Below are 13,680 nucleotides of genomic sequence, written 5' to 3'. Positions count from 1 at the left end.
TTTCACATGCAGCATTTTAAATTTTTTGTGGTTTTTAAAATACATTTTATTCCAGCTTTTCAATAACCCTATGAATGGTTTATGGCAAATATTATCATCCCATTTTATAGCCTTGGAAACACACTTACAGATGCCACCCGACCTGAGTAGAAAAAAAAGAGTAGATCCAAGGTCAAGGTCATAAAAGTAGGAAAAAAGAACAGATCCTACTCAAATAATGGTCTTATGATGTCAACTCCAGTGCTCTTTTCAGATAAAAACTCAGAAATATTTGGATATTGATCCACAGCAGTAATGGATTCTACTGAATTCTAGACACACTCTTTCCCAGCTCTTTATTTTGTCTTGTATAAGGCTTTAAGTAAAGGGAAAAAAGAGACCCCTAGAATCATGGCAGCCTCTTCTTGTCTAGCATTAAGAATAATAGGCAGACCATGAATTCTTCTTTGGCATTTTCTCCAATATTTATCAACATCAAGGCATTTCTCATTCACCATTATCTTAACTCGGAGTTAAAATGCATTAGATGATACATTGGTTAAGCTATAAATTGATCCCTCTCTCAGATGCTTCTAGGGAGCAAATCTGGGTCTGCCCAAGCTTTGGAAGACTCCCCACCATTTTTGTAGCAACACACTTATGAATCTTCTCTTATAGTGACTTATTTTCTGGGGTTATTTCCATAGATGGTTAATTACTTCCATTTTTTTTCTTTCTCATTTTCTGGGGTTATTTCCATAGATGGTTAATTACTTCTATTTTCTTTTCTTTTTCTTCTTTTTTTTTTTCGAGACAGAGTCTTGCTCTGTTGCCCAGGCTGGAGTGCAGTGGCATGATCTTGGCTCACTGCAACCTCCACCTCCTGGGTTCAAGCAATTCTTCGCCTCAGCCTCCCAAGTAGCTGGGACTACAGGTGCTCGTCACCACACCTGGCTAATTTTTTTTTTTTTGTATTTTTTAGTAGAGACAGGGTTTCACCATGTTGGCCAGGCTGGTCTCGATCTCCTGACCTCAGGTGATCCGCCCGCCAGGGCCTCCCAAAGTGCTGGGATTACAGGTGTGAGCCACCGCGCCTGGTCATTACTTCAATTTTCTTCCACTCTCCTGGTTTCAATTTTAGAGTGAGTTATTTCCTATACTCTCCAAATCTTGCACATTCACCCTCTTGGAGGGCTGAGGTTCTTCATGCTCTCACCATGCCATTAAAAGTTAAACCCCTTTGAAATGGTAAAGTTAGTTATAGAAAAAAGGTATGGCTCAAACAAACTAGACGCTGAGACAAAAAGCTGGTGAGATGGAAGTTTAGATATTCTCATGCAGGAGGTAACTTCAACAATTAGTGATGTTTAGCCAAAAAAATGTAGTAGTTATTCCCAAATATAATGAAAGAGTGTTATGCACTTATTCAAACAGATACATTAATGGTTCTCAAACTGTAGAAAGGCTAAGAATGCAGATTCCTGGGCCCTAATCCCAGAGTCTGGTTGGTTGGATCCATGATAAAGCCCAGTAGTTTGCATTTAAAAAGTATCCCAGGTGCTGATAAAGACTATGTCTCAAGAAGTACTGGTCTATATCAGTGATCTCCATGGTGGATGGAGATCCACATGGATGGAGATACCCACGTCCTAGGGAGTATTTAACAGGATCACCTGGGACTTCTATTATATTTCTCATACATTTAAAATGTCTTCTTTCGTATGCTTTATAAGACATATATTAGTAACAGCTATATATATATAAATATTTACATTTATTTGATAAATATTTGATAAATAAATGTAAATATATTGAACAACTGTGATCAAACTTTTTTCTTAATAGGGCGCATGACTTTAGAAGTTAAGAGATCCCTAGCTGGGCATGGCAGCTCACACCTACAGTCCCAGCTACTCAGGAGGCTGAGGCAGGAGGACTGCTTGAGCCCAGGACTTCAAGACCAGCCTGGGCACAAAACCAGATTCCATCTCAAAAAAAAGAAAAAAAAATAGACGTTCCTGTTCTAGAGGATAAATTATTGGAATGCAGTAGAAGAGATTCATGCTTTAGGTAGGATGTGGGAAGCAGGAAGGAAAGGAAACTAGTTTTGGAGTCAGAAAGATGTAGATTTGAATTACGGAATTAGTACTTAGTTTTGTAACTCTAAGCAAGTTCATTTAACCATTCTGAGCCTGTTTTTCCATCTTTAAAAGAGACATAACAATACATACATCCCACGATTGTTAAAATAAGCATTCTAAAAGTATTTAATGCAATGCCTGGCAATGTTTCTCCCTCTCTCCCTTCCTTTCTTTTCTTGCCATCATAAGTGCAACATTTATGATGCTCTTTCTCTAGAGAACCTACATTTTGAAAGATATTATTTACAAATAAAATAGCATTTATAAGTAATAATTCATATTCTCAATTTTTATTAACCCAAGTCAAATAAATTGTCAACTAGAAGATATAATTAGTGTGAGAAAAGATATTACCAAATGGAAGTAAAGTAATTTCACACAGAAGCAAAGGAATTTGAGATTGAGGGGTTTTGGGATAGCTTTATTAGGACAAATATCAATACTTAAAAATATTTAAACTGGATTATAAACCTCTATTCTTACCTTTAGGACCCTATTGGCCAGTGACCATATGTTACAAGTCACTAAACTAGAAGAGCTAAGGTCCCTTACAAATCTAATTCACATTCCATAAAAACTATTAGAGTACCATAGAAATGGAACCCATAATGATGTCTTTTTTTTATTTTTAAATTCACAGTTTTAAAATTGAATTTAAAATTTAGAGGTAATTGTGAATTCACATGCAGTTGTAAGAAATAGTAGAACGGTTCCACGTACCCTTTACCCAACTTCCTTCAATGATAACATCTTGTAAAACTATAGCATACTGATATCACAACCATGATATTGACATTGATACTGTGAAGATGCAGAATATATCCATCATCACTGGAACCCTTCACTTTGTTATTTTACAGCTATTTCCCCTCCTCCTCAACCCGATCTCTAACCACAAATCCATTCTCCATTTCCATACTCTTGTCATTTTACTTTTTTTCTTTTTGAGAGTCTTGCTCTGTCACCCAGACTGGAATGCAGCGGTGTGATCACGGCTCACTGAAGCCTCTGCCTCTGGGCTGAAGCGATTCTCCCACCTCAGCCTCCCGAGTAGCTGGGAATACAGACGCACCCCACCATGCCAGGAAAATTTTTGTATTTTTTTGCAGAGATGGGGTTTCGCCATGTTGTTCAAGCTGGTCTTGGACTCCTGGGCTCAAGCGATCCACCCTCCTTGGCCTCCCAAAGTGTTGGGATTACAGGCGTGAGCCACAGAGCCCAGCCCTGTTGTCATTTCTATTATATAAATGGAATTAATCTTCTGGGATTAGATTTTTTCGCTCAGCATAATTCCCTCAAGATTCATTCAAGTTGATATGTATATGAACAATTCATTTCTGGCATCATGTTTTATAATGTTTATTATGATCTATTAGTTGAACTACCTGATTAGAAACAAATTCTGCATGCTAGCAGCCATTGAATTGTAATGAAAAACTCTTTTCAAAAGATTTACTGTATTCTATGACCAGAACTATATTTTTAGGAAAGAAAAACTAAAGAACATTTATATTAAAATGTTAGAAACCCAGAAGATTTCTCTTCCTCTTATTTTTCTCTTTTCTGAATTTCTCAATTAAAAAAATGTATTTATCTTTTATGGTTTTTAAAGTCATTTGAAATATTATAAATATTACATTATTAAAAATATATCTTTCTGGAAAGCAATCTGGCAATGCACATCAAGAACCCTAATTAATTCTAATTCTAGGATTCTGGTCTCAGGAAATAAAGATTGATGTGGGCAAGATTTACACACAAATACAAGCTTTAGGTTAGTAAAAAATTGAGCACAGCTCAACTGTAAAAAACAGAAAACCTGAGGATTGATTAAATAAATGACACAACAGTTGTATAACCATAGTTAGAAAAGTGTTAAGAAAACAAGAAATGCTCATAATGTAACACCAAGTGAAAAGAGGTATACAAAACTGCCTTCTCTACTAGGTTTCTTTTGTTTTTGTTTTTGAGACAGAGTCCCGCTTTGTCGTCCGGGCTGCAGTGCAGTGGCGCTATCTCAGCTCACTGCAACCTCCACCTCCCAGATTCAACCAATTCTCATGCCTCAGCTTCCAAGTAGCTGGGATTACAGGCATGTACCACTATATGCCTGGCTAATTTTTGTATTTTCAGTGGAGACGGGGTTTCCCCATGTTGGCCAGGCTGGTCTCGAACTCCTGACCTCAAGTGATCCACCCACCTTAGCCTCCCAAAGTGTTGGGATTATGGGCGTGAGCCACCGTGCCCGGCCCTCTACTAGATTTTAAATTCTATGTATTGATCAGTATATAACCAGGACCTGTAACAGTCCTTACCACATTACTAGTAGACACTCTATAAAGACATGAATAAAAAGATATAATAAAAAGTTTTAACAGGTCACTAGGCTGCTAAAAAAAGCCAATTTTAGAACATTGTGTTTTATCATCTTTATATTCTTCTCTTTTTTTTTTTTAAGACAGAGTCTTGCTCTGTCGCCTAGGCTGGAGTGCGGTGGTGCAATCTCGGCTCAGTGCAACCTCTGCCTCCTGGGTTCAAGCGATTCTCCGCCTCAGCCTCCCAAGTAGCTGGGACTACAGCCACTCGCCACCACGCCCGGCTAATTTTTTTTTTTTTGTATTTTTTAGTAGAGATGAGGTTTCACCACATTGTTGGCCAGGCTGGTCTTGAACTACTGACCTCAGGTGATCTGCCCGCCTTGGCCTCCCAAAGTGCTGGGATTATAGGCATGAGCCACCGCGCCCAACTCATCTTTTTATTTTTCATTAAAAAAATAATGCATACTCAATATAGAGAACATCATCTTACTACAATAAAGTGGGGTAGGGGTTTGGAATTATCTATATTTTCAATATCCAAAAGCAATCATTGTTAACATCTTGAGATATTCATTTCCATTCTTTTTCTTATAAACATTTTTAAACACTACTAAAGCCCAGTAGTTTTACTCAGCTTTTTCATTTATTACATTATATGCATTTCTTCATATTGTAAACTCTTAATAAAAAACATGGCTTAGTAGGTGAATAACAGTCTATTGACTATTATTCCCAACCATTTCTCTATTGTTAGGCATCAGATTGTTTACAATTGGTCACTATATAAATAATGCTGTATTTGTTGCAGTTACTATTACCAGGAGTGGCTTATCATTGACTCAGAATTACTGAGTCAAAAGGCTTTTAAAAAAATTTTTAAAAAGGCCCAAGGACAAATTTAATGTCAGCTGAGGCAATTATAGCACACAGTGATTAATAACTTAGAAGTCAGACAGACCTGAGTTTGAACGGCCACATTCTAGTTCTCTAAATTTGGCCAATTTAATTTTTCTCTAAACTTTAGAGTAGAGAAAACCAAAGATAATACTAGTAGCTCACCTTACAGGGGAGGACCAAATGTAACACTTAACAAAAGCCCTTCACTCATTGCCTGGTACCCAAAGTATCTTAATCAGAGTTTACTAAAATCATCGTCATCAAATATTGCCACTTTTAGTATCTCCCTTATTCCTCTAAATGGCTTCTTATTTCCCTTTGTAAAAAACGCCGTGGGCAGTGGCTCATGCCTGTAATCCCAGCACTTTGGGAGGCCGAGGTGGGCAGATCACCTGAGGTCGGGAGTTTGAGACCAGCCTGACCAACATGGAGAAACCCTGTCTCTACTAAAAATACAAAAATTAGATGGGCATGGTGGTGCATGCCTGTAGTCCCAGCTACTTGGGAGGCTAAGGCAGGAGAATCGCTTAAACCCAGGACGCGGAGGTTGCAGTGAGCCGAAATTGTGCCATTGCACTCCAGCCTGGGCAATAAGAGTGAAACTCCATCTGGAAAAAAAAAAAAAAGCAGTGTGTGTAGTGTGTGTGTGTAGTGTGTGTGTGTGTGTGTGTGTGTGTGTGTGTGTGTATACATATATATACTTTTATTCTAAGTTGCTTCATATCTTTCTTAGCTGTAGGGATAAATTATAAATACGTAAACAAAAACAAAAATAAAGATGGTGAATTCTGAATCAGCTGTAGAGACCCGACCCACTTCATCACACACAATGCTATATATACTTCTCCATGCCAAACATATTTTCTTTACAAAAACACTTAAAAAATACAGTTGGCTAGAGCAACCTAAGGGTTCAATAGTAAGAGAATGTTTACAAATAGTATTTGGTGGATATTTACCATGGTAATAATGAATAATTGTGAAGATTATCAAAACAAGATGGAAAATGTATATGATGTAATGTAAAGAGAAATGGGCGGGACAAACAGGTACGTATGCTATGATTGTTATACTATAGAAATACAAGCCGATAAAAAAAAATGGGAAGAATTATATAGAAATAAGTTATTTAGTTATAGTGGTGGTAGTATAAGCCTTTCTCTTTCCTCAATTTAAAAAATTTTCTGAGCATTTTATGGTTTAATACTCAGATACAATGAAATCTAATTATGTTATTGAATATTTTGCAGTATTTTAATAGTATAGAATAAAATGCCTCTTGTTCGACACTTCTAAGGAAAGTATAAGTCTCGTTCTCTAACAGCTCTATTTTGAAGGGGCTTATATATAATACTGTAATAATAATGATGACAACTAACATTCACTGAGAACTTAAAATGTGTCAAGCACTCTCCTAGATACCCTACATGTATTAACAATGCATTAATCTCATGACCCTAGGAGTTTGGCACTATTATATTCCAATTTTACAGATGAGCAAACTGAGGCACAGAGTGATTCCCTTATCTAACCTGCCCAGGTCACACAACTATCAGTGATAGAGTCAGAACTGAAATCCAGGCAGTCAGGCTCCAGTTGCAGTACCACTAACCTGGAGGAAGACTATTTCCTAATTCTTTACAGTTCAAAACACGTAAAGAGGGCCGGGTGCAGTGGCTCATGCCTGTAATCCCAGCACTTTGGGAGGCGAAGGCGGTTGGATCACCTGAGCTCAGGAGTTAGAGACCAGCCTGGCCGACATGGGGAAACCCTGTCTCTACTAATAATACAAAAATTAGCCGGGCGTGGTGGCACGCCTGTAATCCCAGCTACTCGGGAGGCTGAAGCGGGAGAATTGCTTGAACCCAGGAGGCGGAGGTTGCAGTGAGCTGAGATAGCACCATTGTATTCCAGCCTGGGCGACAAGAGCGAAACTCCGTTTCAAAAACAAACAAACAAACAACAACAAAAAAACAACACAGAAAGAGAAACATAGGCACATGACCTAGCCTTTCCATGCCTCAGTTTCCCTCTCTGTAAAATGAGGATAATAATGGAACTTACCTTAAAAATTTATTGTGAGGATTAAATGAGCACAATATATGTCAAGTACTTATCACAATGCTGGACACACAGTAAGGGCTTTCTAAGTACTCGCTATATATTACTTTTAGTTTTTTGGTGGCCTGAATATTTTTAAAATAAAAGAGCAAATAAATATATGCAAAATTTTACTGTATGTTGCAGAAAAAATACTTGGTTTTACCTTGCCAAGGAATAACATAAAATCTCCTACTGTGTTGATGGTAGCCACTCGCAAAGCATTCTCCACCAGAATGACAAAGGCATCCTTTGCTGAGGTGCAGAAGTTGGTGCTGTTGATAGCTGTGGCTGTGTATGCATTCTGGACAAAAGCAAAAACAACATTTTCGTCAACAATTGAAACTTCCTTTGTTAAGATAGAAACTGAGCATAGCTAAAACATAGCTTTTAAAAATATTTCAGTCAAACACATGGCACCCTTTAATGAGGTACAGATCGAGACTGAGTACAAGAAAATATAAGATTTAAAGCCTCATATGGTAAAAATAACTTTCCATTTGGCTTAGTTTTGGTTCTTTTAAAAACATTGTTATTTATTAAAACATACACAAACCTTTCTAACACCCCTTAACTTCTTCCCTGTTTTAGTAAATCAAACATAATTTAATCTTTCCTAGATGTCTCAGGGTTGTGACTGTGAACATCAGCAGTGCACTGTAATCATTTAGGTGATGCTTTAAAAGCTGAAGAGGCAGGTGTGAGCATCAGATTGCTATGGTGTTTTATCTGGACTATCCACTATCTCCTCCTTGGTGGCTTTCTTCTATCCTCTCACTTCTCACAGCTCTTGTAGTACATAGCTCTTTGATGGCTGGCATTTTATACCACTACTCTTCCTGGGAGCAGAACCCTAAATCTTTTTTGAGAAAACAGTCTTACCCCATTCCCTGTCTCAATCCCAGTGAGACTGTCACTACCTCCAGCTCTGGGGATGGGTCTTGATTGACATAAGCCAATTAGCATACTATACCTACTGGCCACAATGATTGGTTCAGAATTGGTGAATAAACCAATCAGAGCCAATGAAAGCAAAAGTGATGTTCCCTGGGGCTTCTGGGAAAAAAAGGCTTTCTTTCTCTTCCATAGGTTCTCTTGAAGGTGTGAGGGTTTGAATGGCTATAGCTGTTTCGCTAACATAATGAGAAGAGCTGCTGAAGGTCACAGTGTAAAACTGAGGGTGAGGCCAACACCATGAAGTCAGAGCAGGGAGAACCAGGTACTTCAACCTGGTGACAGTTGGGACATTGGGAACTTGCCAGATTTCTGAACTTTTCAGTTATAGAAGCTAATAAATTGCTAAGAATCCCAGCTCTTCCCTGCTCCACATTCCCCTCCCTCTCCCTTGTTCAGGTCAGATTGAGCTGAGCCTTCTGTTCCTTAAAATACTGAGTTCTAGCTGACACGTTTTCATTCAATTATACCTGCTTCTGCTGCCCCATGTGCTCTTTGACCTACTAGTCACAGACTGATTTTTTTTTCCATTCTTTTTTATGTTACATTCTAGAACAGCATTGATGTTTTCTGGGAAATGTGAAAAAGTATTATAACATCAAATATGTTTGAGTCTTAGGAAGGAAAAGTATATGAACTTTGTGACTAAAACTTTTGGTCCTGAGGAATTTGGGTTTAGTGCTGACTTAAATTGTTTCTAGGTCCCAAATGTTGAGATTGCTGGGAAACTGTTGGAGATAAAGGGCTTACTTTATACTGTGTTGTCTATAAAGCTTTAACCACTGAGCCCAGGAGAGATAGTCTACAATTTACGAATATTCTAATTATAAGCTTGTTAGTTATTAGGAGTCTGTAATGAAGATGAGGTTTGAATTACCAAAAATTTAACTTGCCATTATATGATTAAATTCACTGATTAAAAATGCAGAACATTTCAGAGCCAAAGAGAGTATTGTACTGAGCAGGTCACTACCTGTGGTTCTTTTTTTTTTTTTTTTGAGACGGAGTCTCGCTCTGTCGCCCAGGCTGGAGTGCAGTGGCGGGATCTCGGCTCACTGCAAGCTCCGCCTCCCGGGTTCACGCCATTCTCCTGCCTCAGCCTCCCAAGTAGCTGGGACTACAGGCGCCCGCCACTACGCCCGGCTAATTTTTTGTATTTTTAGTAGAGACGGGGTTTCACCGTTTTAGCTGGGATGGTCTCGATCTCCTGACCTCGTGATCCGCCCGCCTTGGCCTCCCAAAGTGCTGGGATTACAGGCGTGAGCCACCGCGCCCGGCCTACCTGTGGTTCTTAAGCTTTTTTCAGTAATGGGGCAATAGGAAATAAATTATGGTGCTCTTTAAGAAACACAGTATGAAGACGGGTGTGGTGGCTCACGCTTGTAATCCCAGCACTTTGGGAGGTCGAGGCAGGTGGATTGCCTGAGGTCAGGAGTTTGAGACCAGTGTGGCCAACATGGTGAAACCCCGTCTCAACTGAAAATACAAAAAAATTAGCCGGGCGTGCTGGCATGCGCCTGTAATCCCGGCTACTCGGAGGCTGAGGCAGGAGAATTGCGTGAACCAGGGAGGTGGAGGTTGCAGTGAGCTGAGATCGTGCCACTGCACTCCAGCCTGGGCCACAGAGTGAGACTCCATCTCCAAAAAAAGAAAAACAAAACAGAAATACAGTATGATTTTGATATATAGAATTCCATCATACAAATTGGGGAAGTTTGTTATCATCAGAATATTATTACTATATTATGTTTGCAAGTCTTTTTATCTCAAAAACTAAAATACAGAACATCTTAAAGAAATCATACTAAGTGTTTCTGTTAGCATCCACCTGCTTCTTGCTCCCTTATATTGTCATCTGTCAGTGCTTCTTATCAGATAAAAGATAGCAGGCACCACACAGTTAACTACCTAACTGCAGTGGTCCAAGTGTTTTTTTTCCATCTTCTACAAAAGCTTCTTTTGAAATACTCTGCCAAGTGCCTCAATGAAGTAAAAATAAACTACACTTTTGATCTTGTGTAACATTAACCTTGCTGAAAAACAATGAAGAAGAACTGCCCCAGCCAGTTCTATTCTGAAAGAACACAGATTGGTTCCCAGTTCACACCAGTTCCCTAAGTACTCACAAAACACCCAGTTAACAATTTATTCTATAGCAGGGGTGGTCAACCTACCACCTGCAGGCCATATCTGGCCTGCCAATTACTTTTTTTTTTTTTTTTTTTTTGTGAGATGGAGTCTCACTCTGTCGCCCAGGCTGAAGTGCAGAGGCACGATCTCAGCTCACTGCAAGCTCTGCCTCCCGGGTTCACACCATTCTCCTGCCTCAGCCTCCCGAGTAGCTGGGACTACAGGCACCCGGCTAATTTTTTGTATTTTTAGTAGAGACGGGGTTTCACCGTGTTAGCTAGGATGGTCTCGATCTCCTGGCCTTGTGATCCACAAGGCCTCCTTGGCCTCCCAAAGTGCTGGGATTACAGGCGTGAGCCACCGCACCTGGCCTGCCAATTACTTTTGTAAATAAAGTTTTACTGGCACATAACTGTGCTCATTGTTTACATATTGTCTATGGCTGCTTTCATGCTACGGTGATGGAACTGTGCCGTCGTGAAAGATCCTGTATGGCCCACAAAGCCAAAAATATTTACTCTCTGGTCCCTCACAGAGAAAGCTTGCTGACCTCCTGTTCTAGAGTACTGCCAAGGATTAATATCAACCTCATCTACTCACTCATCTACTGTATGTGGAACCCACCCTCTTACTGGAAATACAAACCACATTTGCTCATTTCAAGTTTTAGTAACTTCCTCCACAACTTCCAATCTTTCAGCATCTTTCACTGTAATTCTTCAGTTCAACAATTTAATTGACAAAGGTCTTCAGTGATCTGGGATATAACTCCTTTGAAGAGAAATACCTTATTTCCCACATTCTAAGATATAATCAAGAGACTAATGAGCCAGTTATTCATAACAAGTTTTTGGGAGAAAATATCCTACCATATTAAATACACATATTGATTATGAGATACATCCTGATACTAAATAGCTTCATAATGTCTAGAATCAAGGAAATTGGACAACCCATTTAAATCAACTAGGTACTAGCTTATGTTCACTCCCGCCCTCAATGGGAACAACTCACTCTTAACTAAAGTGTTCTGCCCTTTCCAGTTTACCATGAATTTCCTTGAGACGGAAGCAAGAAAGGACCCACACGTCTCCATTCTCTCTCCTCTGTTATCATCAGACCAGCTTACACGAGGAGAATGCCCAACACTTCCAAACTAAACTATAAAAGCTTTTTTTGTTTCCCTCATTAGTTTTTAGAAGCTTCATTTCATTTGAGAATTATTATTATTCCTCTTTTGCTTCTTTCTTATCACCCCACCCTGCCCCATTCCATCTGCTTTTAGGGCAGAAGTCTATTTGTTGGTAGATAAGCAGCAATAATTTCTTTTCTCCACCCCTCTGAGAAATTTCTGTGAGGGTCGAATGTCCAGAAATTTAGCCTTTTAAAAGGCAATATTTCTATGGATCTATGCAATTCCTTTGTATTCAACCCAACTGAAAAAAAGTAGGTGGATATTTTGCAAGCTCTTTCACTCACTCCCAAGGTAGGAAGATGAACTGGATACACAAAGGTCAAGATGACCTCTTCAGGAAGAAAAATGTGCTGCAGATCACAGCAGGCAAATGAAAATTCCCTCCTTTTCTATACTTCCTAGTCTAAAATAATTCTTGCTTAAGTTCTTAAGAATTTCGGAGTCCTTTGTGGCTTTCCCTGATAACTATTCTCTGAGCTTTCTTCAGACTTCTTGGTTGAGATTTTTAGAGTCCACCCACCTTCTCAGACAGCCTTCCTTATCTGGAGTTAAACTGCCCACAGACAGACATCACTGATTAACATTTAGCCCACGCTCAACATTTGCTTGGGCAGGACACAAGCTTGAGAATATTCAACCCCCAGGAGCAAGGTGAAGGATGACCACCATCCAGGAATCTTTTTAAAGGATGCCTGTTAGCCTACGCAATCCCTGGTTGTACTTTTGTGTGATGGGATATAGTTAAAAAGTACTGATCATGTGAAAGAAAATATGTTAGGGCAGAGGGTCACCATGCATGGAACAGGCCTGTGTGGCCATCTGTCCCAGAATACAACTTCTTCATTTTCACATCTTCTTTCCTTTCTCTAGTGAAGGACCCAGAAATTCTCTTAAAGTTTAAAATATTCACATAATGACTCACTTAATAGGGGCAAGCTACACAATAATGCTAAGGGAATATAGGGTATGTGCAGTTCTGTGTGGATTCGTATAAATTAAAGAAATGAAAGGGTAATTACAATTATTCCTTTCTTATTTGAGGCAAAGGAGAGAAGGGGAATGCTATGGTCTGAATGTTTGTGTCTTCTCAAAGTTGGTATGTTGAAACATAGTCAGCAAGGTAATGGTATTAGTAGGTAGGGTCTTCAGGAGGTGATTAGGTCATGAGGGCTCTACTCTCATGAATGGATTAGTGCCCTTATTTAAAAAAATACCCCAAAGAGCTGTTTTGTCTCTTCCACCATGTGAAGTCACAGCAAGAAAGCACCATCTCTGAACCAGGAAACAGGCCCGCACAAACCACTGAATTTGCTGGTGCCTTGTTCTTGGATTTCCCAGCCTCTAGAACTATTGGAATAGTTCTCATCAACTACATAACTATGAAAAATAAATTTCTGTTGTTTAGAAGCCACCTAGTGTATGGTATTTTGTTATAGAAGCCTGAACAGATTAAGACAGGGCACAAAGTCAAACCCATACTGTAGGCTTTATCTAATTTTGTTCTAAATTCTTAGACTTTTTCAAGGTCATAAAAATTACAAGTGTGTTGCAAATCTTAATTTCAACAGGCTTTCTTTCTTTTTTCTTGAAAGAGTCTCACTCTGTTGCCCAGGCTGGAATGCAATGGCTCAATCTCGGCTCACTACAACCTCCACCTCCCAGGTTCAAGCGATTCTCCTGCCTCGGCCTCCGGAGTAGCTGGGACTACAGGCACGAGCCAGCACACCTGGCTAATTTTTGTATTTTTAGTAGAGATGGGGTTTCACCATGTTGGCCAAGATGGTCTCGAACTCCTGACCTCAAATGATCCACCTGCCTCGGCCTCCAAAAGTGTTGGGATTACAGGCGTGAGCCACCGTGCCTGACCTCAATAGATTTTCTTTAAAAACATAATTGTCGTAGTTTACAGAATGAATCATTACAATTTGAGATGTGTGCGTATTTTCTATAATAAACCATATTTTTG

The 13,680-nt window shown here is 39.3% G+C and overlaps 1 protein-coding gene across 8 annotated transcripts in view; it reads right to left on the bottom strand.

The window, feature by feature from the left end:
- Window positions 1–13,680, bottom strand: part of SLC44A1 (solute carrier family 44 member 1) — a 193,854-nt gene that overhangs the window by 56,168 nt on the left and 124,006 nt on the right. For all 8 annotated transcript variants that reach the window (NM_001330731.2, NM_080546.5, NM_001286730.2 and 5 more), the window contains one exon: window positions 7,602–7,739. In NM_001330731.2, the coding sequence (NP_001317660.1) occupies window positions 7,602–7,739 (138 nt within the window). The remainder of the gene's footprint in view (window positions 1–7,601; window positions 7,740–13,680) is intronic.

Source organism: Homo sapiens, chromosome 9, assembly GCF_000001405.40.
Source record: "Homo sapiens chromosome 9, GRCh38.p14 Primary Assembly".
Classification (NCBI taxonomy): Eukaryota; Metazoa; Chordata; class Mammalia; order Primates; family Hominidae; genus Homo; species Homo sapiens.
Note: the sequence above shows the minus strand (reverse complement) of the source record. Positions and strands in the feature narration are given on the sequence as shown.